This window comes from Homo sapiens, chromosome 17 (genome assembly GCF_000001405.40).
Source record: "Homo sapiens chromosome 17, GRCh38.p14 Primary Assembly".
NCBI lineage: Eukaryota > Metazoa > Chordata > Mammalia > Primates > Hominidae > Homo > Homo sapiens.
In genome coordinates this window covers 47,254,528-47,278,864 of record NC_000017.11, presented here as the reverse complement: position 1 = coordinate 47,278,864, position 24,337 = coordinate 47,254,528, and the positions used below count along the sequence as shown (strand labels likewise).

At 45.3% G+C, this 24,337-nt stretch overlaps 1 protein-coding gene and 1 pseudogene across 1 annotated transcript in view, besides 2 other annotated features; one reads left to right on the top strand and one right to left on the bottom strand.

The window, feature by feature from the left end:
* ITGB3 (integrin subunit beta 3) overlaps positions 1-24,337 on the bottom strand; it is a 59,917-nt gene that overhangs the window by 34,879 nt on the left and 701 nt on the right. The window contains exon 2 of the mRNA NM_000212.3: positions 4,361-4,446. Coding sequence (NP_000203.2) covers positions 4,361-4,446 — 86 coding nt within the window. The remainder of the gene's footprint in view (positions 1-4,360; positions 4,447-24,337) is intronic.
* Positions 2,425-2,972: an enhancer, noted in NCBI's record as "H3K27ac-H3K4me1 hESC enhancer chr17:45353259-45353806 (GRCh37/hg19 assembly coordinates)". NCBI's record gives its function as "activates a minimal SCP1, AML or CMV promoter by ChIP-STARR-seq in naive H9 embryonic stem cells {active_cell/tissue: H9 hESC(naive)}" and the evidence as "EXISTENCE:reporter gene assay evidence [ECO:0000049][PMID:30033119]".
* Positions 3,268-3,562: a silencer, noted in NCBI's record as "tiled region #629; K562 Repressive non-DNase unmatched - State 1:Tss". NCBI's record gives its function as "represses a minimal TATA promoter and a strong SV40 promoter by Sharpr-MPRA in K562 cells {active_cell/tissue: K562}" and the evidence as "EXISTENCE:reporter gene assay evidence [ECO:0000049][PMID:27701403]".
* RNU7-186P (RNA, U7 small nuclear 186 pseudogene) lies at positions 19,445-19,507 on the top strand (annotated as a pseudogene).

The following is a 24,337-nucleotide window of genomic DNA, read 5'->3' as shown; positions in this document are numbered from 1 at the left end:
CACCCCAGATCATCAGGCATTAGTTTGATCCTCATAAGGAGTGAACAACCTGGATCCCTCCCATGCCCAGTTCACAGTAGGGTTTGAGCTCCTGTGAGAATCTAATGCCACCACGGATCTGACAGAAGGTGGAGCTCAGGCGGTAATGCTCACTCACCTGCTGCTGACCTCCTGCTGTGCGGCCCAGTTCCTAACAGGCCATGGACTAGGAATTGGAGCCCCTGCTTTAGGACACAGTATAAGCAAATAAATGCAAATATAAGTGACTCTTTTTTTTTTTTTAGATGGAGTTTCGCTCTTGTTGCCCAGGCTAGAGTAGTGCAATGGCACGATCTTGGCTCACTGCAACCTCCACCTCCCGGATTCAAGCAATTCTCCTGCCTCAGCCTCCCTAGTAGCTGGGGTTACAGGCCTGCGCCACCACGCCCAGCTAATTTTGTATTTTTAGTAGAGACGGGGTTTTGCCATGTTGGTCAGGCTGGTTTCAAACTCCTGACCTCAAGTGATCTGCCCACTTTGGCCCTGCTGGGATTACAGGAGTGAGCCACCACACCTGGCAGGTGACTCTTTTTTACAGTTACCACAATAACTACTATTATTTCATACTCTTCTTGGAGAGCGAGAGTCAATATGCCCCAGTACTTTTTTTACCCCAGAGCACCACCAAAACATCTCCCATCCATTGCTGTCTTGATTAACTCATCTGGTGAGGACAAGAAATCACTTGAACATGCAAAGAGAAAAGAATGAAGAGGGCAGAAAGGAGGAGGGGAGGAACATGAAGCATTTTTGTTTATAGTTGTTGGTATTCACATTTCATTGTTTACAAGAAGAGGAGCACTCTTAATATTATACTTCCTTTTACAATAATAAATTGGAGCAAAACTCTCAAGATGAACATTTGTCCTCCAGATTAAAAATAAATAGAAAGAAGACAAGTCAGAATAAAATTATGTTTGTGATTATAAAGAAATGTAAATCATGGCCTATATCTTGCTCCTGCAGTTGCAGAGAAGAAAATGAGAAGGAAATCCTATTAGAGTCTTCCTCTACTTTGCTAGACTCAAACTCCTTCTTCCTCTGTCACCCTTGGTTGTCAGGCTAAGTGGGAAGCTGGCCCACCTTCCAGGGTGTACTCAGGCTTATATAAGAATTCCTAGTATTTCCCTCCACTGTAGGGTTGCCAAATTTAGCAAATATTTGGGACAAACTTATACTAAAAATTATTTTTTAATTCAAATTTAAGTGGATGTTCTGTAATCTAGATTTATTTTTTAGAGACAGGATCTCCCTGTGTTACCCAGGCTGGAGTGCAGTGGCTATTAGCAGACATGATCATGGTGCACTATTGCCTCAAACTCCTGGGCTCAGAGGATTCTCCCACTCCAGCCTCCTGAGTAGCTGGGACTACAGGCACCAGGCTGGATGTTCTGTATTTATCTGGCAACCTTAACTCCACCTCCATCCACCTTGACCCAACCCCAGTGGCCCTTCAATTAGCAATGTTTGCCAAACTTGCTATCATAAATATCCATTCTGATGTAACAGACCCAGGATCCATCCCGGGAAGCTTTATTTTTAACAAGCACCTCAGGCAATTCTCAACACCAAATGAGTTTGGGAGGTTCTAGACTCCAGCATGTCACTGTTGAGACTAAGACTACGCGTTGAGTCTCTGTATAAAGCCCGCCTCTTTGCTAGATTTATGGACCAGAGAGAGCACAGCAACCCAACCCGCGTCGGTATCCAACCCTCCAAGAACACACCCTATGCAGATGGGCCCAAAACTCCGTGCTCATCCACGTTGGCTGTTTTCCTCTTACCCAGCCAAGCTCTCACTATACACACCCAAGAGCTCCGGTCCTCTAGGACCAAGGGGAAAGCCGAGCCCAACCAGTTGTTTTTCCAGGCACTGCCAGCTTGCCTGGAACAGCCAACTCAGGGGAGGAAGAAGAACAGAGGGCTCTCCAAGGTTTGATTATTCAAAAAATTACCTAAAAAATGGACCAGCCAGTTCACCTTTGGTTTTTTGAAGTCAATGTCCAAGGCATTTTCAGCAGTTAAACTTGGCCTATCCAGGGGAAGCCCTGCTCCTCTCAAGAACAAAATAGCATTTATGTTCAGGTTACAGTCCAGGATTCCCACCTCCCATCCCTCCCCGGTCACCACATTCTGTCCCATACTGGGGTCCTCCACCCTTCCTTCTCTCCCTCCTCCCTCTTGCTGAGGGATAGTTGTAGTCCTTCACTAACCTTGGCCCCGCCTCCTTTCATGTTTATATGCCATTCTCCCAGGGAATATCTTACTGGACTTTCTACCTCCTTCCATTTGTTTTCTTTGGTCCTAGCTGCGCCCATTTCCTCACTGACTGCACCCCTAATTCCTAGGCTGGTCCTATGTCATGCTCTGATCTACCCTGCACCTTTCCCTCTGCCCTCCCCAGGCCTGCCCCAGGGGACAAGGAGCACAACAGTCACCCATAAATATTCTACATTTGCATCTTTGAAATCTGGTTATGTGACCTAAGGGCTTTGTCTGGTCAGGCCCCAGCCCACCTCAGCTGCATGGCTAGTCCCTATACAGATCAAGAGGGATGAAAAATGGGGGATAGGGAGCAGGACAGACCCTCCAAGAAGGTTTTCTTTTTCCCCAGATTCTCTGGGCCAGAGATACCTGCATTTTCTCTTGCTTTGGGTTGGAAAGGAGGGAAGGAGGAAAAGGGGGAAGCACCCTTTGAGTGACACTAGGGCTTCTGTCCTGACCTTCCTCTGCTCCTGAAGGCTTTCGGCTACCCAAGGCCCCCCTCCCCATTCAGCTCTCTCTTCTTCCAGCATTCAGTTGCAGAATTGCAACTTCCTGGTAAAAGAAGCTTTAGTAATATCACGATGGGAGGAAGGAGGACATAGTGAATAAGGAGGGAGGAGGCTACATCACACTGAGCAGCCCGCTCAGCCCAGAGGGGAGGAGAACCTGCGGGGGTGGGGGAGAAGGTCTCATCCATGCCCCCCTTACACCCCTTCCCTAGCCCCAGGGAATGTTTCATTTGCTAAATGAAGTTAATGTGGCCCAGATGTTGGGCAGCTGCCTCTGGAAGCAGTTCCCGTGCTGAACGGCAAAGAGGCCAAAGCAACGTGCGGAGCTGGCCTCTGCTGCTCTGGCAGCCCTCCTGGCCGGTGATAAACACAGCCTCCCAGCTCCCGCCCCTCCCCCCAGGCGGCCAGGGAGGTTGCCTTTTTAGGAAACTCAGCAGATCTGAAAAAGAAGCAGACAGAGAGACTGAGGGCTGGATTGGAGCGGTCATAAAACTGGAGAGGGCTGGGACTTGTTGTGGGACAGAGGAAGCCTCAGGTAGCTGAGCCGCAGCCAGGCCAGGAACTCAGGTAACCACCTGCTGGCCAGGCCAGTGACTCAGCCTGAGACTCTATAATCACCGAATCTCTTCAACCACATTCATCTTCCACCCCCACCCCATCAGCTCTTGCCAGCTCCAAATTTCCATCCCAGCCACAAACATAGCCATTCCCTCAGACACACTCATTCCCTAGGGCCCCAGACACAACAAACCCTCTGCCTAGACACAACTAACCCTTTCCTGTCCCCCTTCCATCCTCACCAAGTGGGCCCAGCTCCTTTCTTCAACACCTGTGAGAAGGAAGGAAGGAAAGAAGAAGAGAAAGAAAAATGTAAAGCCGCGGGGCCCAATCATCAAAGAGAAGGGAAGAGAAAAGATTTTCTGACTAAACATCACCACACACAAGCACAAGATTTCTCTTCTATTTGCCTTTTTTAACCTCTAGGAAAAAGAAGTAAGCCAGCAACCCCTCCCAACCCCATCCGTACCTATACCCCTTGCTGCCTCTCCTTTTGAGACCTGACGCCCTGCTTCCCTGGGATATTCCACCCCAAGAAATGCAAGCAAAGGGCTGGGCATGGTGGGTCACACATGAAATCCCAGCACATTGGGAGGCCAAGGTAGGAGGATCTCTTATGTCTAGTTCAAGACCAGCCTGGGCAACATAGTGAGACCCTGTCTCTACCAAAAAATTTAAAATAAACTGTTTTTCTTAGGAAAAAAAGCAAGCAAAGTGTGAGAAAGGGCAGCAGTGGTTACAGAGAGGACAGGAGGTCGAGCCAAACTGGCAAGGGCCAGGGGCTATATGGTAGACTTGGGTTAGTATTCCCAGCAACATCCCCATGACAGCTCCTCACCATGCATCAATGGGAAAAATTCATCAAAGTTTTGCTTAGAAGGGATAAGGGGCATGTGTATTCAAGAGGGAGGTGATAACTTCATGGGTCTGTTTCTGCACAAAAGCAGCTTAGTCTGGAGAAGAAACAAGGTCTGGTATCTGCTCCTTACCTCATCAGAGCACCAGGCACACATGGGGCTCACAGCCAGGCACTGCTGGCAGGAGCTCACACCTCGCGTGGTACAGATGTTGGGCCCTGCAACAGACAGACAAAGGCATTAGCACCAGATTTGGCTCAGTGAAGGTACTTGCCTGCCTCATCCTTCCCAACTTTCCCAATGTCCAGGTTTACAGCTCTCAGGTGCACACAAACACACCCTAACCATACCACAGACGTCTACCAAATACAGGTTATTGGTTAGGAAGAAGGAGGAGGAGGAAAATCAGGAGAAACTCATCACCGCTCTCAACTGATGAGGCCACAGTGGTAACAAGTGACAGGGCAAGGCTGAGCCATGGACGCAAGTCTCAGATCGTAACTGATGGAAAGGCTTTAATTAACAACTGGTTTGACACCTACATTGTGCAAATGAAAATATCTCCGGGGCCCAGAAAAATGGCAATGTATCCCCTCTTCAGTCATTCTAGTGATATTCACAGCCACTACACAGGGGATCCAAGGCCCAGATGCACTAACATTAACACATAGCCTAAATACAGTGGGGGCGTGGAGGGTGAGGTGACTTTGGTGGCAGTGTCCCACTGACTGGCAAAAGAAAAGCAAATCTGAAATCTTCTCAAGCTTCTCAATGCATATATCTTGGAATCCAACCACAAAATGCTCTAGGAGGAAGTGCAGAAATGTTAGAAAAGGCTGACTGATATACACTAAAAGAACATGGAATTTTAGAGTTGGAAGGTTTGTGCTTGAATTCTGAATGTTCTTCCTGCTAACTACTTCATGACCTTGGGCAACTCAACTAGCCTCTATGGGATGACAATATCTGTCTCTCAGGATTTGTACAAGAATTCAGTGAGGTAAGGGGAAGCACTTGGTACACTATAAGGTGCTATTCAAATGTGAACAGTCCTCATACTGTCAAAGGACAGAGCAAAGGCTACGAGGAGGAGCAGAAACAACCAGGAGAACCAAAATCACCTTGAGAAGCTCAGCCAGGAAGCCAAACCCAGGCATCTGCTTAGACAGAAGCCACTGTCCTCTCTAATTGCCTAGCTCAGCATTCCTGCTCCAGCCAGGTGAACCCTTCTTCCTGCAGTGCCTTAAGGAGGTTTTTTCCAATATAAGGAGCAGAATGTGAGGGATCTGTTCCTCTCCATGACCCAGTTACCCTGACAGCTCCTTCATGCAGTTTTCCAAAGGGACCTCTTTGACCCCAGCTGGTAAGACCAGCGAACCTATTTTGGAGAAATCAGCCTGACCATTGCGATGTTTTCCCAGTGTCCCCAAAACTTCTCATTTAGCTGTCTCCATTCATTTTATTACAGTGTGACTGAATTCCCTCCTTCCCAACACCTGGACAAAAACACACTCAGAAAATGAGGGTGTATACACACACACAATATTGTAAAGAAAAATTATGGCCAGGCGTGGTGGCTCATGCCTGTAATCTCCCCACTTTGGGAGGACGAGGCAGGCGGATCACTTGAGTTCAGGAGTTTGAGACCAGCCTGGCCAACATGGTGAAACTCCATCTCTGCTAAAAAATACAAAAATTAGCCGGGCGTGGTGGTGCACTCCTGTAATCCCAGCTACTCAGGAGGCTGAGGCAGGAGAATCACTTGAACCAAGGAGGCAGAGGTTGCAGTTAGCTGAGATCATGCCACTGCACTCCAGCCTGGGTGACACAGTGAGACTCCATCTCAGAAAAGAAAAAAAAGGAAAGAAAGAAAGGAAGGAAGGAGAGAGAAAGAAAGAAAAGAAAGAACGAAAGAAAGAAAGAAAGAAAGAAAGAAGGAAAGAAAGAAAGAAAAAAAAAGAAAGAAAGAAAGATTACATAAAATTTGGAAACAGGCAAAGAAAATACAAATGTCCTTTCAATGTAATGCAGAATGTTGACTAGCTGACCCACCATGCTTAGGGATTATCTGATTTTCTAAGAGTATGTACCTATTATTTGGCTTCTATTAATCAGGATATTTTACAATACTGTAAGAGTAGATGTTGACCTATTGAAAACCATAAAAACGGAAATGATCACCATTACACTCCAACCCTGGGCAATAGTGCGAGACTCTGTCTCAAAAAAAAGGGAAATAATTCTTGATGAGAACAATGTATATTATTCTTTTAAAAAAAAAATGGCCAAGCGCAGTGGCTCACACCTGTAATCCCAGCACTTTGGGAGGCCGAGACCGGCGGATCACGAGGTCAGGAGATCAAGACTATCCTGGCTAACACAGTGAAACCCTGTCTCTACTAAAATACAAAAAATTAGCCGGGTGTGGTGGCAGGCCCCTGTGGTCCCAGCTACTTGGGAGGCTGAGGCAGGAGAATGGCATGAACTCAGGAGGCGGAGCTTGTGGTGAGCCAAGATAGTGTCACTGCACTCCAGCCTGAGCCAGAGCAAGACTCCATCTCAAAAAAAAAAAAAAAAAAATAGCCCCGGTGAGGCGGCTCATGCCTGTAATCCCAGCACTTTGGGAGGCCGAGGCAGGTAGATCACCTGAGGTCAGGAGTTCAAGACCAGCCTGACCAACATGGTGAAACCCCGTCTCTATTAAAAATACAAAAAATTAGCTGGGCATTGGGGTGGGCGCCTGTGATCCCAGCTACTTGGGAGGCTACTCAGGAGGGGCAGGAGAATCACTTAAACCCAGGAGGCAGAGGTTACAGTGAGCCGATATCATGCCACTGCACTCCACCTGGGCAACAAGAGCAAGACTCTGTCTCAAAATAAATAAATAAATAAGTGTTTGCTGTTTAAGCCACCCAGTTTATGGCATTTTGTTATAGCTGCTAGAACTGGCTAAGACAACATTTTAATCTAATCATGATCATATTGTGGTGTGCAAGGTAAATTATTTAGATAAGAGAACAATGTATATTATTCTTATCCAACAACAATACCAATGATTTCTGTCTGGTAGAAAAGGTTATCCCCCACAGGTTAAGGTTCATTGCCTTGCAGAATATTAACCAATTTTCAATCTATTCACTAATTCATTTCAGCATTCCTTTGACTGATCAACCATAAATCTCCCTTCTTTGAAATTCCTTTTGAACTACTCCTAACGTCTTACTGGTTCTTTAATTACTAAAGTTGAATAAAATCTTTTACACATATTCCCTTTATATTTGTGTAGAAATCATACTTTTAACTCTGTTAAAATTATATATACTTTAACAGTACCCATTTCAGGACCTTACTTGGGGGACAGGAGGTCTAACAGAATGGGTACACACAATGAGTAGACTGTCATCCTAATCGAGTCACCCACTAATAGTGTGGCCATGGGTGAATCATTTAACTCCTCTCAGCCTCCATTTCTTCAATTCTAATATTCCTACCACATCATAATAATTTATGTGTCTGCCTTAACAACACTGCCACCCAACAGATTTTAAGTCCCTTGAGACCTGCTCTGCCCTGCCCAGCTCAGCTCCAGTTCTTACTCAGTGGAGATGCTCAGTAAATATGCACTGGGGCAAAATGAAAGGTAGGGGAATAGATGAAGTTTTGCTTTGCTTTTTTAAGCAACTGAGCTCATTTCTCAAAATTATGCATAGAATTCCAATATAAAACATGTAAATGGGCTACAACAATTCCTCAGGCAATTTAAACTTTCATTGTTCTCCCAAAAACCCTAGATTATATGCGGAATCCTTGAAGCACCTCCTGGAAGCCCCAGGTTTCCTCAGAGCCTTGAGTCCATCTAACTTCAAAGGCCTTGCCCAACTTTAAAATTCTACAAGTGGGATGCCTTTATGAGCCCATGAATAACCTCTGGGGCTCCACTCTCCGACTTGACTACAACTTCAGAATGTAAGCGTGAGGCCCATGAGTGGGAATGATGACATTGGTTCCAAGCCTGGCCTTAAAGCATCAAGGTCACCTCTGAGATGGGGCAGCCCTGAGCCATGCAATGTCTATAATGAAAGAAAAGTGGCTGCTAGTTTCAGAATTCCTGAATGTTCACAACGAACAATGCAACCCAAGACTTCTCCCTGCATGAGCTGCCTGGCCATCTCTTAGCCTTATAATTGCTCTCTTCCCAGGCAGATGTGGACAGAGCCTCTCTTTTTTCCCCTATCAGAAGACTTCTGAGAGGAGCACAGCCTGAACTATTTTAAGTATCTCCCTCCCTTTCTGGAGTTTCCATGGGAATTGGCATGCCAAGGGGTAATTCTGGACATAAATGCCATTGATATTCACAAGAGACAGAAGCACAAGAAGACATCAAGAAGGGTTAGAAGAGGGAAGAGGACCATGGGAGATATGAGCACTGCTATGGTTTGGCTGTGTCTCCACCCAAAACTCATCTTGAACTGTAGTACCCATAATCCCCACAGGTCATGAGAGGGACTCAGTGGGAGGTAATAGAATCACAGGGATGATTATCCTCATGTTGCTGTTCTCCTAATAGTAAGTTCTCACAAGATCTGATGGTTTAATAAAAGGCTTTTCCCCCTTTGCTCAGCACTTCTCCATCCTGCCACCATGTGAAGAAGGATGTGTTTGCTTCCCCTTCCACCATGATTGTAAGTTTCCTGAGGCCTTCTCAGCCATGCTAAACTGTGAGTCAACTAAACCTCTTTCTTTTATAAATTACCTGGTATTGGGTATGTCTTTATTAGCAGTGTGAGAACAGACTATTACAGTAAATTGGCAATGGTAGAGTGGAGTGCTGCTATAAGGATACCAAAAATGTGGAAGTGACTTTGGAACTGAGTAACAGGCAGAAATTGCAACAGTTTGGAGGGCTCAGAAGAAGACAGGAAAATGTGGGAAAGTTTGGAGCTTCCTAGAAACTTGGAGGGCTCAGAATACAGGAAGATGTGGTAAAGTTTGGAACTTCCTAGAGACTTGTTGAATGACTTTGACCAAAATGCTGACAGTGATATGGACAATGAAGTCCAGGCTGAGGTGGTCTCAGAAGGAGATGAGGAACTTATTGGGAACTGGAGTAAAGGTCATGCTTCCTATGCTTTAGCAAAGAGACTGGCAGCATTTTGCCCCTGCCCTAGAGCTCTGTGGAATATTGAATGTGAGAGAGATGATTTAGGGGATCTGTCAGATGAAATTTCTAGGCAGCAAAGCATACAGCAGCAGGAAGCAGAGCATAAACGTGTGGAAAATTTGCAGCCTGACGATGTGATAGAAAAGAAAAACCCATTTTCTGTGGAGAAATTCAAGCCAGCTGCAGAAATAAGTAACGAGGAGCTGAATGTTAATTACCAAGAAAATGGGGAAAATGTCTCCAGGGCATGTCAGAGACCTTCATGGTAGCCCCTCTCATCACAGGCACAGAGGCCTAAGAGGAAAAAATGGTTTCCTGGGCTGGGCCCAGGGCCTCCCTGCTATGTGCAGCCTAGGAACTTGGTGACCTGCATCCCAGCCACTCTAGCCATGGCTAAAAGTGACCAACATAGAGCTCAGGCCATGGTTTCAGAGGATACAAGCCCCAAGCCTTGGCAGCTTCCATGTGGTGTTGAGCCTACAGGTGCACAGAAGTCAAGAACTGACGTTTGGGAACCTCTGCCTAGATTTCAGAGGATGTATGGAAACACCTGGATGTCCAGGCAGAAGTTTGCTACAAGGCAGGGCCCTCATGGAGAGCCTCTGCTAGGGGAGTGCACAAGGGAAATATGGGTTGAGGCCCCCACATAGAGCCCCCCACTCGGGCACTGCCTAGTGGAGCTGTGAGCAGAGGGCCACCATCCTCCAGACCCCAGAATGGTAGATCCATTGACAGCCTGCACCATGTGCCTGGAAAAGCCACAGACATTCAATGCCAGCCCATGAAAGTGGCTGGGAGAGAGGCTGTACCCTGCAAAGCCACAAGGGTGGAGCTGCCCAAAGCCATGGGAGACCACCTCTTGCATCAATATGACCTAGGTGTGAGACATGGAGTCAAAGGAGATCATTTTGGAGCTTTAAGATTTGACTGTCCTGCTGGATTTCAGACTTGCGTGGGGCCAGTAGCCTGTTTGTTTTGGCCAATTTCTCCCATTTGGAATGGCTGTATTTACCCAATGCCTCCACTCCCGTTGTATCTAGGAAGTAACTAATTTGCTTTCAATTTTACAGTCTCATAGGCAGAAGGGACTTGCCTTGTCTCAGATAAGACTTTGGACTTGGACTTTCAGGTTAATCCTTGAATGAGTTAAGATTTGAAGGAACTGTTGGGAAGTCATGATTGTGTTTTGAAATGTGAGGACATGAGATTTGGGAGGGGTTGGGGTGAAATGATATGGTTTGGCAGTGTGCCCCACCCCCCAAATCTCCTCTTGAATTGTAGTTCCCACAATCCCCATGTGTTGTGGGAGGGACCTGATGGGAGGTAATTGAATCATGGGGGCAGTTACCTCCATGCTGCTGTTCTCATGATAGTAAGTGAGCTCTCATGAGATCTGATGGTTTTATAAGGGGCTTTTCTCCCTTTTGCTTGGCACTTATCTTTCCTGCCACCATGTGAAGAAGGACGTGTTTGCTTCCCCTTCCACCATGATTGTAAGTTTCCTGAGGCCTCCCAAGCCATGTTGAACTGTGAGTCAATTAAACCTCTTTCCTTTATAAACTACCAAATCTTGGATATGTTTTTATAAGCAGCATGAAAATGAACTAATACAGACACTGTCAGATTACTTTTTAGGACTTTTCCCAGTCTATTCATTTAACCACCCATTCATTCTCAAATTAGCATTTCCCTATGAGTCCTTGACTTGTAGCCACAATAGAAAGTTTTGCAAGATACAAAATAAATAACAGCAGGTCCCTCCCAGTGAACTAATGGTCCCTGACCCCAGAGGATAAAATGAGGTGCTGGGATTTGTTCTTTAGGAAATCATGCCTGCAGAGTCATGGTTACCAAGTCCCTTTATCCACTCTTTTTAATGAATCACAGGTTGATTTTATGAGAACCAATGAACCCCCCATGATACCCCCAACCAAGTCCTGCTACCCAGGCAGATTCCCTGGAATGCAGTGGTTAAAAGTGACTGACTCATCAGAAGTCTCTGCACTGAGCCCATGCTGATTCAATGAGTTGTTGTTCTGAGCCCACCCCTCCCTCCTGAACGTGTGGAAGGAGTTTGGGCCTCTGTTTCCAGTCATTCATAAAGCCTATGTTCCTGCTCATTCTCTGGGGCCCAGACTCATTCCTGCTAAAGTGGGAATCTTCACCATAATGTCACTTACAGAACAAACAACTCCTACCTCCTACCACCCCTTTCCTCTGACAGGTTAGCCAGAACCAGGGACAAGGTGGATTGACCCCAGTCTTCACAGGGTGGTTGTAAGGATGAAATAAACCAAACCCTGTAAAACTCTGAGCACAACAGCTGGAACACAGAAAGTACTCAATAAATGCTGCTGCTGCTGCTGCTGTAATTTATATTGGTTTTATTGTTGTTTTTATCCTGAGTCTCAAATTGTTTAGGGCAGGTGAATACTTTTTTTTCCTTGATGACATCATTCTAGGGGACACTAGACATGACGTTAAGTATGCCCTGAGCAGAAGGAGTCGTGGGAGCGTGGAGCCAGAAAGTATCACACCAGGGTGAAATGTTTACTTGTCAGATCTGGCTTCTAAATGGGGTTAGGAATATTAGTCTTCGAAAATCCAGGCTCATGCCTGTAATCCCAGCATTCTCGGAGGCCAAGGCAGGAGGATTGCTTGAGCCCAGTAGTTGGCGACTAGTCTGGGCAACATAGTGAGACCCCCATCTCTATGAAAATTTTTTTAAAAATTAGCTGGGCATGGTAGCATGCACCAGCAGTCCCAGCTACTCAGGAGGCTGAGGCAGGAAAATCAGCTGGACCTGGGAGGTTGAGGCTGCAGTGAGCTGTGATTGTGCCACTGCACTCCAGCCTGGGCAACAAAGTGAGACCCTGCCTCAAAAAAGTTTTTTGAAAATAACAATTTTAATCCAATCAAGACCAGCCAAGAAGTTTGCCTGGAAAGTAGAAGTAGAAGGCTGTGGTTTGGCACATCAGCTTGAATCACAGAAGCAGAAGAGAGACAAAGGGTGGGAAAAATGGAAGAACAAAGGAAACAAGGGAGGGAATTGGATCCAGTGGAAGTCATAATGCGTCAATGGGGGCTATTTTGAGGACATGTTGTCCAGTGAGACAGGATGCTGGACTGTAGGAACAGGCCACCCTAATGAGGACAGGGGACTACAGGAGAGGGCTAAGTCACAGTAAGAGGTGTTTATCGAGAAGGGAGGATGTTCCACTAACACTATGGACATCTATCACTCTGCCAGAAAGGAGTTCTAATCTGGGTCCCCAGCCCTGCCACTGACCTTTGACTGCTCACTTCCCAATTAGGTCCATGGGGACAGTGGGTGACTCACATGATGCCTCATTGTAGTCACCTGGCCATGTGACTCATGAAAAAAAAAAATCTCATGCTTACTGTCCTACATAGGCACAAGTGGTTTATCTAGAGCAAGTTGCTAAGAAAGTTTATTTTAATTTTGGTCCTTCCTTAAATGTAGCATCAGCTAAGTAACCCAAGGAAGGAGAAGGAGACAGGGAGGTGGAGTTTAGGGTAACACATACCTCTGTGCTCTGAGCAAAAAGCTCCAGTAAGCATCACCCAAAGCAGTAGAGAACCCAGGCACCATATTTCATCAAATCTAACACTATGAATATAGTATATGTCCTGATTTTAGAGATTTAAAACTGTTTTTAAGTATATCAGAGCCAGTTAAGTACGGTATTTAACATTGGAAAACATTTGTGTATAACTTGCCTCCACCAATATTAAAATGTGTTATAAGTTGACTTATGTCCCCAAAAAAGATATGTTGAAGTCCTTACCCCAGTGCCCATGACCATGACCTTACAGAGAAATCAGGTCTTTGCAGATGTGATCAATTGATGTCGTTAGGGTAGGCCCTAATCCAACATGACTGATGTCCTTATGAGAAGAGGAAAACACCACACGAAGAGAGAGACATATAGAGAGAATGCCACATGAGGCAGAGATTGGAGTGATACAGCCAGAAACTAAGGAACACCAAGGATTGCCAGCCAACACCAGAAGATAGGAAGGAGGAAGGATTCTACCCAGAGTCTCAGAGGGACCATGGGCCTGCTGACACCTTAATTTCAGATTTCTAGCTTCCAACAAGAATAAATTTCTGTTGTTTTATGCCACCCAGTTTGTGGTGCTTTGTTACAACAGCCCTAAGAAACTAATACAAAATGGATTTGCATCTCCATCATGTATATGGCATGATTTTGAAGAACACTGCCGTGAAATACTTTGCATGATTGAAAAAAAGCCAGCATGAAATGAAATTTTTGTTGCATTTAATCCACGTATGGATAAGGTTTGAAAAATGGTTACTTTAGCTGTACATTTTTCTACCTATATATATCAATGGTGTCAGCATTCATTGATTCATTCATTCATTTACTCGACAAATATTCATTGAGCATCTACCTGTGCCAGGCACTCTCCTAGGCACTGGAGACACACTGATAAACTAAACAAAGCCCCTGCTCTTGTGAAGCTTACATTTTAGTGAGGAAGATGGTAACAAAAAATACACAACAAAAATGCACAATTTCAAACAGTGGCAAATGCTGTAAGAAAATAAAGCAGGATAAAGGAATAACAAGCAATAAGGGGAAGGACTCTCTTTAGAGCATGTGATCAGAAAAGGTCTCTCTGTGGAGCTGACATTTCAAAATGATGTTAAAGAGTGAATCCTGGGACGATCCAAGGCACAGACATTCCAGAAAGAACCCAAGGCAAGATCTGGATGGACATCAGCCTGTTAAAGAAATAGCAGGTGGAGAGAAAGGAGGAAGAGAAAAGCACAGAGGAGGTTAGAGGAGCAGTTAGGGACCAGAACACTAGGAAGCTATAGGCCATGGTAGAGAGTGTGGCTTTTTTCTCCACATAGTGGGAAGCCACTGGAGGAATCTGAGCAGAGGTGAGCAAAAAAAGATCATCCTGGCTGCTGAGTGCAAGACAGAAAGAAGGGAAGCAAAAAGGAAAGAGACTTATTATTCAATTAGAAATGTACTAAAATAATCCAGGCAACAGATGGCAGTGGATTTGGACAGTAGCGGAGCCACTGATGTGGTCAGACTCTAGATACGTTCCATCTAAAGACTTGCTGATGGATGGCTCATGGGGCATGAGGGTGTGAACAAATGTGAACCTGAAAGAGCCAGTCCTTCAAGATAGATCTGGAGTGGCTAAGTGGGCCTAAATTTTAAACAGAGCAAAGCTGCCATTTGCTGACTAGAGGTCACAACCCACTTTGAGTTCCCTGAAAATCAACACCTCTCTTCAACTTTGGGACCTCCAGAGCTAACCTAAAATAACCAGTCAGGGCTCTGCTGCCTTGACCAATCAGGCCTCAGTTGTTTCAACCAAACAGAACTAAGCAAGTTGGAATTGTTCATTTGCATAAGTGGACCTCATCAGGATCCTAGGCAGGAACTTTCATTATAAACCCCCAATTCTGACACCAACAGCTGAGTTTCCCCAGTTTCCAAACTGTTCATTGGAATAAAGTCTTTCCTCCCAATTCCTTTTCAGAGAACTTTTGTTCACAAGGGAAAAACAGGAAGGATTTTTGTCTGAGCAAGGGGATTCCCTGTACACAAAGTTCAAATGTCTTGACCACTGGCCATATCCTTTCATTGACCCTTCATGCTGTAAGAAAATAAAGCAGGATAGGCCGGGCATGGTGGCTAACACTGTAATCTGAGCACTGTGGGAGGCCAAGGCGGGTAGATCACCTGAGGTCAGGAGTTCAAGACCAGCCTGGCCAACATGGCGAAATCCAGTCTTTACTAAAACTAGAAAAATTAGCTGGGCATGGTGGCACGCACCTGTAATCCCAGCTACTTGGGAGGCTGAGGCAGGAGAATTGCTTGAACATGGGAGGCGGAGTTTGCAGTGAGCCAAGATCGTGCCACTGCACTCCAGCCTGTGTGATGGAGTGAGACTCTGCCTCAAAGGGAAAAGAAAGGGTGGGGGTGGGGGGGGCGGGGAATAGCAAGCAATGAGGGAAGGAGTCTCCTTTAAAGCATGTGGTCAGGAAAGGTCTCTCTGTGGAGCTGACACTTCAAGATGATGTTAATGGGAAGATCTAGGGCAGGTCCTGTCCTTGTAAATGAAGCCACATTATGTCTGGTTATCATCTCCAATGAGGTTAATTAGGTCGCCATGTGCTGAAGACTGCATAAAGCCCATTCCAGGGACAGAGTCCTGTCTTCTCTAAGGTTGTGGTCTAAAATTAACACCCAGCTCCTGAGAAATGTGGTAAGGCAGGAGCAGTAAAACAACAGATGGATATGGCAGAAAAAGCATGCAAAGCAGCAGGAAACCTCACGTCTAAAGCCATCTTTGCCCTTCCTCTGGCCGTATGACCTCAAGTACATCCCTTCATCTCTCTGGTGCTCTCTCCAAGGCCCAGTGCCTCTTTGAGTCTATGTCACATTCATAGTCGAGAAGTGATAACTGCTCTGTAGTATTTAACGGGTCTAACCAGCCACATCGGCCAAGCACCGGAGACTCCAAACAGCTGCTTCCTTTCCCCAGTGCTCCCGAGTTGTTAGGATTAAATGACATAACACGTATGAAAGAACCCTCTATAGTGGATGCTCAATAAATGTTCATTTCCTTCCCCCTTACTTTCACTCTAGTCACTTCCTACACCAGGAATCCCCATCCCCTCGCCTCCACCTCAGGGTCAGACGTGAAAGGGCCCTTTGTCTCTAACAGGATATAGTGAAGAAATCACTCTGGGCAGGAGACAAGAGTCCCCAGGGAGAGACCCAACCAATGCCACTGAGCCAGTTGTATGATCTTGGACAAGTCACTTCACTTCTCAGGAACTCCCTTTTTGCTTTTTTGTAAAACAAACAGGTGTCAAATTTGATGATCTTCAAGGTGCTGCCAGTCCTGGAAGTATCCACTCTTCCAGCCAGAAAACATCAACAGGGGGACTCATACCCTAGGAAGCCTAGCAACCCAAGGCATGAGAACCCTCAAACAAGGCACAAGTGGCCATTTCTTCCTGATGGCCTGATATTTGACTCAAACGCTGCATCTCAAGAGTTCTGGAAATTTTTATTAGCATCGACCCCACCTCATTCAGTATACAGAAGAAGCAGGTCTGTACCAAGCTGTCCGAGGCTCAGCCCAGGGGTGCCCTATTGGTGACCTCCTTGGCATCCTGCTGTCCAGTTCTGCAGCCTTCCTCCCCCAGCTCATGTGTTATGGGTGTGGACAGCAGGCCGCGGTGCTAACACCAGTCCTTACTGCCAGCCTGTCTTGGTAGGAAAGCAAACTGGTTCAACCGTTTGGGAGGACAAATTGACAACACCTACTAAAATTTAAATTTAAAATACGCATGCCCTTCGACCCACCAACTTTCATTCAAGAAATTAAGTCTGTAGAAACACTTGAACAAAGGTGCATAATAAATGAATAAGGATATCCCCTGCAGCTTTATTTGTAGTAGCAAATAATTGGGAATGATCCCAATGTCTGCCAACAGGGAATTGGTTAAGTAAATTCTGATATATCCATATAACAAAGAGTATGCCTTATGGCTAGAATTATAGCTCTTGGGATAAATAATGGAAAGCCATAAACTGACATAAAAAGATGCCTAGAGTATATTATTAAGAGACAATGGGCCAGGTGCGGTGGCTTATGCGTGTAATCCCAGCACTTTGGGAGGCCGAGGCGGGTGGATCACCTGTGGTTAGGAGTTCAAAACCAGCCTGGCCAACATGGCCAAACCCTGTCTCTATCAAAAACACAAAAATTAGCTGGGCGTGGTGGCAAATGCCTGTGATCCCAGCTACTCGGGAATCTGAGGCAGGAGAATTGCTTGAACCCAGGAGGCGGAGGTTGCAGTGAGCTGGGATCACACAACTGCACTCCAGCCTGGGCGACAGAGTGAGACTCCATCTCAAAAAAAAAAAAAAAAAAGACAATGATCCTATTATTGATTATCCTATTTGAGAAATAACAATAATGATAAATAATTATATATGTTGACAAATACATAGAAAAAAACTCTGCAGTAACTATCAACAGTGGTTATCTTTAAGGACAAGACTACAAGGAACTGGTACTGGTACTTTCTGCATTATATTTCTGAGCTGCCTTTTTTTAAATAATAAGCTTAATTACTTTTATAAGCTAAAAGAAAATTAAAGCTAATTTGAAATGTCCTCTGTTCTGCCTCCCTGTCGACATTTGCATTTATTTAAATGTAGGCTCCCCAGAGTCTGCTGGGCTTTCCACAAACTGCACCTTCAGCATCAAAACCTCTTGGAATGGCAAACTCAGCAGGAACACAGAAATGAGCTTTGGGGTATGGTTTGCATGAGGAGATGCTGGTCAAGGGATATAAATTTTCAGTTAGACAAGAGGAATAAGTTCAAGAGATCCACTGTACAACATGGTGACTATAGTTAATAACCGTATGTCATCTACCTGAAAATTGCTGGGAGGAGATTTTTAAGTGTTCTCACCACAAATAAATCAGAAGTATGTATGTGAGGTAATGCATATGTTATTTAACTTCATTTAACCATTCCACAATGCGCACATATTTCAAGACATCATGTTGTACATCATAAATATACATAATTTTTATTTGTCAATTTCAAACAATAATAATAATAAAAGAGAATGGAAAAAAAAAAAGGAATAAACTTTGTCAGGCCCACTCTCACAGCCTTCAAGAACTGCCCAGGGCAGCATGGTCTGTTCTCAACTTGTGGAAGTCCCAGAAAGGAAACACCACCCTCCCCTCCACTGGGGATTGGTCAAACATGCTCCTTGCAGGCGGCTCCAGCAAAGGCTCAACCTGGAGTTCAACACGTGCGATGGCTAAAGTTGGGGTCTGGAGCCATCAGTGGATCTCACAGACCCAGGTTTCTCTATCCAAAATTTCCATTAGCAAAGAGATGTAGGGTTGACTACAGGGACTTTTTAAGTGGCTACTGAATATGTCTTTTGCCAAACTTCTGGAGCTCTCTTCTAGTGCAAAGTTTTTCAAGCTTGATTTTAACAGCAGGATCTTCTTTTTTTCCCAAAGAAATCCTTACATGAACTCCAAATTGTTAATTAGTTAAAGGAGTTCCAGTTGAAGGTGGTGGGGAAGGGGCAGGAGCAAATTGAAGTATTTCCCTTCATCTTCTCTGTCCCACTTTGCAGCCCCTGGGACACCAAGAGACTGATGCCTAAAGGTAAAGTCACTTGTTCAAAGTCACCCAGCAAGCTGATGAAAAAGCCTGCAGAACTGTGAATCGAATGTAGGTTTCTTAATTCCAGATACGTTGTTCTTTCCACACTGAGCTTTTTTCTATATAAAAGGAAGTACTATATATCATGGGTTTAAGTAAAGGAATACACACACACACACAAATAAACATAAATGCGAGGGGAAATGTCTAAACAGAACACACCACCTGATTAATATGAACATTATAGGGGAATAGAATTAGAAGGGAACCAGCAATTTTAACGACTGACAATGATCCTATGTGGATGAACCTATTTGAGAAATAACAATATTTGTTTTGTTTTGTTCTGTTTTTTGAGACAGAGTTTTGCTCTTGTTGCTCAGGCTGGAGTGCAATGGCACAATCTCGGCTCACTGCAACCTCTGCCTCCTGGGTTCAAGCGATTCTCCTGCCTCAGCCTCCCGAGTAGCTGGGATTACAGACGCATGCCACCATGCCCAGCTGATTTTGTATTTTTAGTAGAGACAGGGTTTCTCCATGTTGGTCAGGCTGGTCTTGAACTCCTGACCTCAGGTGATCCGCCCGCCTCGGCCTCCCAAAGTGCTGGGATTACAGGCATGAGCCACCGCGCCCAGCCAAGAAATAACAATATTTGTTATTTTGACTTTTTTAAAATGTGTATCACCTTGTTCTTTTTCTTTCTCTCCTTGAATATTTAAACATCTTCACTAACTGAACTAAGAAATTGAACTAACTCAACTATAAAACCGAGAGAGGGGGGTAAGTAAATAGTCTTTTCATGGGAACATGACAGAAAAACAGAAATAAGACATCTAGTGTTAGATCTAGTGTTAGAATTTGTCTAGCAAGCTTTCTGGTTTTGGCCAAAAAGCCACCCACCCACCCACCCTCCCAAAAAAAAGGAAAAAAAAAAAGTCAAGTGGGTTGTTTTTTCAGAGATGCTACCAAAAATGTAAAAAGGTAGAATAGCCCCCAGGTTTACTTAACAACTTCTGACTCCAAGCATCATGACATACAATATTTGGCCACAAAATATCTGTTACTCCTATGAGCAAGAATAATAAGTGTTGGTTGCTACAGAATCCTCTCTAGTATCCTGAAGTCTTTAACTACTTAGCACATGGAAAATCTAATGACTTATATATAGCTAAATACATCTATCCAATTATAAAATTTAGAAGCTGAAAGCTGGGGAGCACCTCCAAAGTTTAACGGATCCAGTCCCACTGCTTTCAGGGTAACTGTTCCAACACGGAGGATGACGGAGTGGCCTCAGACAATGTCTTAGAGTTACTGATAGATGCAGCATCATAGATTAACCCCAAATGTATTGTGCTAAGTGAAAGAAGCCAGACTGAAAGTCTATACACTGCATGCTTTCATTTATATGACATTTTGTAAAACATAGAACTGCAGGGACAGGAAATAGATCAGCAGTTGCAACCGACGAGGGTTGAGGGTAGGGTATCGATTACAAAAGAGCTGGGGGGGCACCTGGCACAGTAGCTCACGCCTGTAATCCCAACACTTTGGGAGGCCGAGGTGGGCAGATTGCCTGAGCTCAGAAGTTCGAGACCAGCCTGGGCAATATGGTGAGACCCTGCCTCTAGAAAGAAAAAGAAGGGAAAAAAAGAGCTTGGGGGAATTTTAGGGGATGATGGAAAAATTCTGTATCTTGATGATGGCAATGGTTACTTGACTATATGCATTTGTCAAAATTCATAGAACTGTATGCACTAAAAAGGGTGAATTTTACTGTACATAAATTATACCTGAATTATCTAACAAAAAAAAAAAAAGAGTGTTTTTGGTGAGACTGTGTGTGTGGACAGAAAGGCAGATGCTATCACTTTTTTGCTGGAGAGTCTCACGTTTCAATAAATGCCAGCAGTTCCCACACGGGGAATAGGCAGTTCCCCTAAACAGAGTCATTTCCCTGCTCCCACCTTCATTTCCACTAGTGGCCTGAGCTCCATCAGGCACAATGAAGGTCCCACTCAGGAAGGGCCAAGGTTCAGGAAGAGGGAGCAGAGGCGATGGGGTGGAGCAGCCCACTCTGTGGGCAGCAGAGAGGGCTGGGTAAAACGAAGCGGTTCATCCCTGAAGCTGCTCAGTCACTCCCTCGGTTAATTATCTGTCTTCTGATTCATGAGTTGTGGTTCCTGTGGGCATGCTTCCTGGAGATTTCTGCCAACAAGGGAAGAAGGGTTCTTGGGACTGGGAGGGGATGATAACCTCAGATCCCAAGTAGGGTGGGGAGCTTTAGAGGAGAAATTTCGATCAGGAAATTCTAAAGTCATAGCCAGACTCCCCCTCCTCACTGTGGTGTGCTTGCCCCATCTTATGGTCTTCCCAGGAGACCTCTGTCACTCCTCACCCTTGCCCCAACACCCACACGTCCAAGGGGGAGAAAGGAGAATGTTGCCCTTCTAACGGCTCCTCCCAGGAGGGAAAAAAAGGCAGACACTTTACAGAGGATCCCTTGAGTTTTTCACACTCTCAGATCACAGGTCTAAATGGTGCAACAGTGCAGCGGCCCAAATGCCCAAAGAATTCATGATCTTGGCTATGTTTTCATACCCTCCAGATTATCCAAACGGAGCACTTGAGGATCTTGTATGAATGAGTGCAAATATTCAAATATTGGGTTTCTTAAAGGGAGGCACATCATCTATAGATGCCTTTACATAGCATTCCACAGATATTTGTTTTGCTGCCTATGTGCCAGGCAGTGGGCATAGAGTATTGAACAAAATAGACATGTCCCTCTTCTCATGGAACTTGAAGTCTTATAGATCCTTTTATCTTCCTCTTTTTTCAGATACAGGGCTTGAGGTTTTCTTATGGGTAAAGCAAATGTATAAGCCTTTTTCCTTCTTGGCTTCTTCTGTGGATTCTTGCCGGGTTAGAGTAGCTGAGATATGCCAAACCAGCAATGAGGAACGAGTTGAAATAAGAGGGACCCCCTCTCACATATGTGGGGGAAAGGGACCCCATCAGTTTCATTCTGGAAGCCTGCATAGCGCATATGCATGAAGTAGTAACAGCTTTTGCCTCCAATACATGGCAGATAGCATGGATAGGAAGAATAATGACAATAGTAGTTGTCATTCATTAAACACTTATTTTGTGCCTCTGTTTCATTTAATCAGCATAATCATAGGCATTGTTTCCTCTGCCTTACAAATGAGGAAACTGAGGACTCAAGAGATTAGGTAACTTATTTAAGGCCACACAGCCTACAGGAGACAAAGTCAAGAATCAAACCCACATCTTACTGGCTTTAAACCATAGCCCTCCCTTTCCGAAGCCAACAAGCCTTCCTGCTGTGTTTCTCCAGGACCTGAGGATACCTGCAGAGGGCTTCGATTGGAGAGCTTCTAGGATATAAACTCCAGAAGAGAAATAAGCACCTCAGCTTAGACCTAATTAGGTCAGAATAAAAACCTAAACACGAGGAAGACACAAAACCCATACTTCCTGGGTGAAGCTAAAAAGATCATCTTTGTACATAAAATGAAAAACTTGATGCTATCCTCAGTCAATCTCTCTTCTCCCCAAAGCAGACTCCGCTACTCTGGGACAACCTCTCTGTGCCACTCAGCTCTTTCTGTGCCCCTTCAACACTTGGAGTCCCAACACAACTCTCCTACTCTCATCCCACCATCTGCTTCCCCAGGGATCTGAAGACCCTACCACCAACACTGGGATGGCAGATATAAATATAGTAGAAACTGATTTGTGAGGTTGGGGGGGGGGGTATTACTCTGGAAGTCTGACTTTAGAGCCCCTGCCCTTAAACACTACTGTACACTGCTTCTCAGAGAGAGTGTGGGGCTAGCTCAGCACAACCCATTACCACTTCTGGAATCGCCCCAATCACAAGATTAATCTGTGAACAGATCGCCTAAGGATTTTTTTTTAATTTTTAGTAGAGATTAGGTCTCACTATGTTGCCCAAGCTGGTCTCGAACTCCTGGGCTCAAGCAATCCTTCTACCTCCACTTCCCAAAGTGCTGGGATTACAGGCGTGAGCCACCGTGCCTGACCAGATATCTTAAAGGATCTTTTAATGCAAACTTACGTATGTCAATGCAGTGGAATCCAATACACTCCAAAGTGAATTTAGAAGACTGTGAATGTGAAAATTTTTTAATGACAGCAAAAATTGTCGTAAGTGCATGGAAGCAAGCATCTCATCCTGGACAGGACAAGGATACCCTTTTTTTAATTATGTATTTATTTATTTATTTATTTATTTATTTTTACTGAGTTGCCCTGGTGGATTTCTCCATTCCCGGCATCAATAGCCAGCAGCATCTGACCCAAGGCTCCACATGTCCCAGGGCAGAATGCTGGAGATTCTTATTTCTGTGTCATAGTCATCAGACTGCTCACTGCACGCTAACACTATCAGCTGATCTGTTTTAGTCCCAGTCACATAGGAAATGCAGCAATAACCACTGCAATATTCCTCTACATATCAACTGTAATCCCTCCTTCAAGATACCCTTGGCCGGGTGCGGTGGCTCACGCCTGTAATCCCAGCACTTTGGGAGGCCAAGGCAGGCTGATCACGGGGTCAAGAGATCGAGATCATCCTGGCCAACATGGGGAAATCCCGTCTCTACTAAAAATACAAAAATTAGTAGGGCGTGGTGGTGCGTGCCTGTAATCCCAGCTACTCGGGAGGCTGAGGCAGGAGAATCCCTTGAACCCGGGAAGCGGAGGTTGCAGTGAGCTGAAATCGCGCCACTGCACTCTAGCCTGGCGACAGCGAGAGTCCATCTCAAAACAAACAAACAAACAAAAAAAGATATCCTTGCCCTGTCCAGAATGAGTTATACGTCTATACATACACAGAAGAGTCTTGACGGGAATCACTAAAGTATTTTCGAATAGTTTATCTTTGAAGTGAATTTATCAACAAATCTTCCCTTTTTAAAATAAATCCTGGCCAGGTGCGGTGGCTCACGCCTGTATTCCCAGCACTTTGGGAGGCTGAGGTGGGCGGATCACTTGAGGCCAGGAGCTCCAGACCAGCCTGGCCAACATGGTGAAACCGCGTCTCTACTAAAAATACAAAAATTAGCCGGCCGTGGTGGCAGGCGCCTGTAATCCCAGCTACTCGGGAGGCTGAGCCAGAAGAATCGCTTAAACCCAGGAGGCAGAAGTTGCAGTGAGCCGAGAACCCACCACTGCACTCCAGCCTGGGCGACAGAGCAAGACTCCGTCTCAAAAATAAATAAATAAATAAATAAATAATAAAATAAAATAACAAATCCCTTCTGCAGGGTGTAGATTGTTTTACGAGTACTACAGTTTTTATTAAAAATACTTACATGCACTCTTGTGTCATCCTCTGAGGCAGAGGCGGCCCCAGCAGACCAGGAGCCAGGGTTTCTCTCCAGCCCAGGCAAAATCACCAAGGACTCAGAGAGGACCACGGGCAGCAACCCCGGGCTGTGCCCGCTCCATCCCTCCACCTGTGTCCCCAGTACCAAAGAGGCCGAATGCCAATTGCCCTGACGGCTGACGGTGTGCGCAGCAGCCAGAGACAAAGCCAAGGATCCCACCGGCCCAAGGGAGCCTTTTCATGGCTCCCCGAATACACTAGAGATTTTTCGGGTGCAGGGTCTGCCCTGGGAGCAGAGGCACCGCTGCCACCTGGGGACACTGGAGGAGGCAAAGCCCTCATCCTGCTCC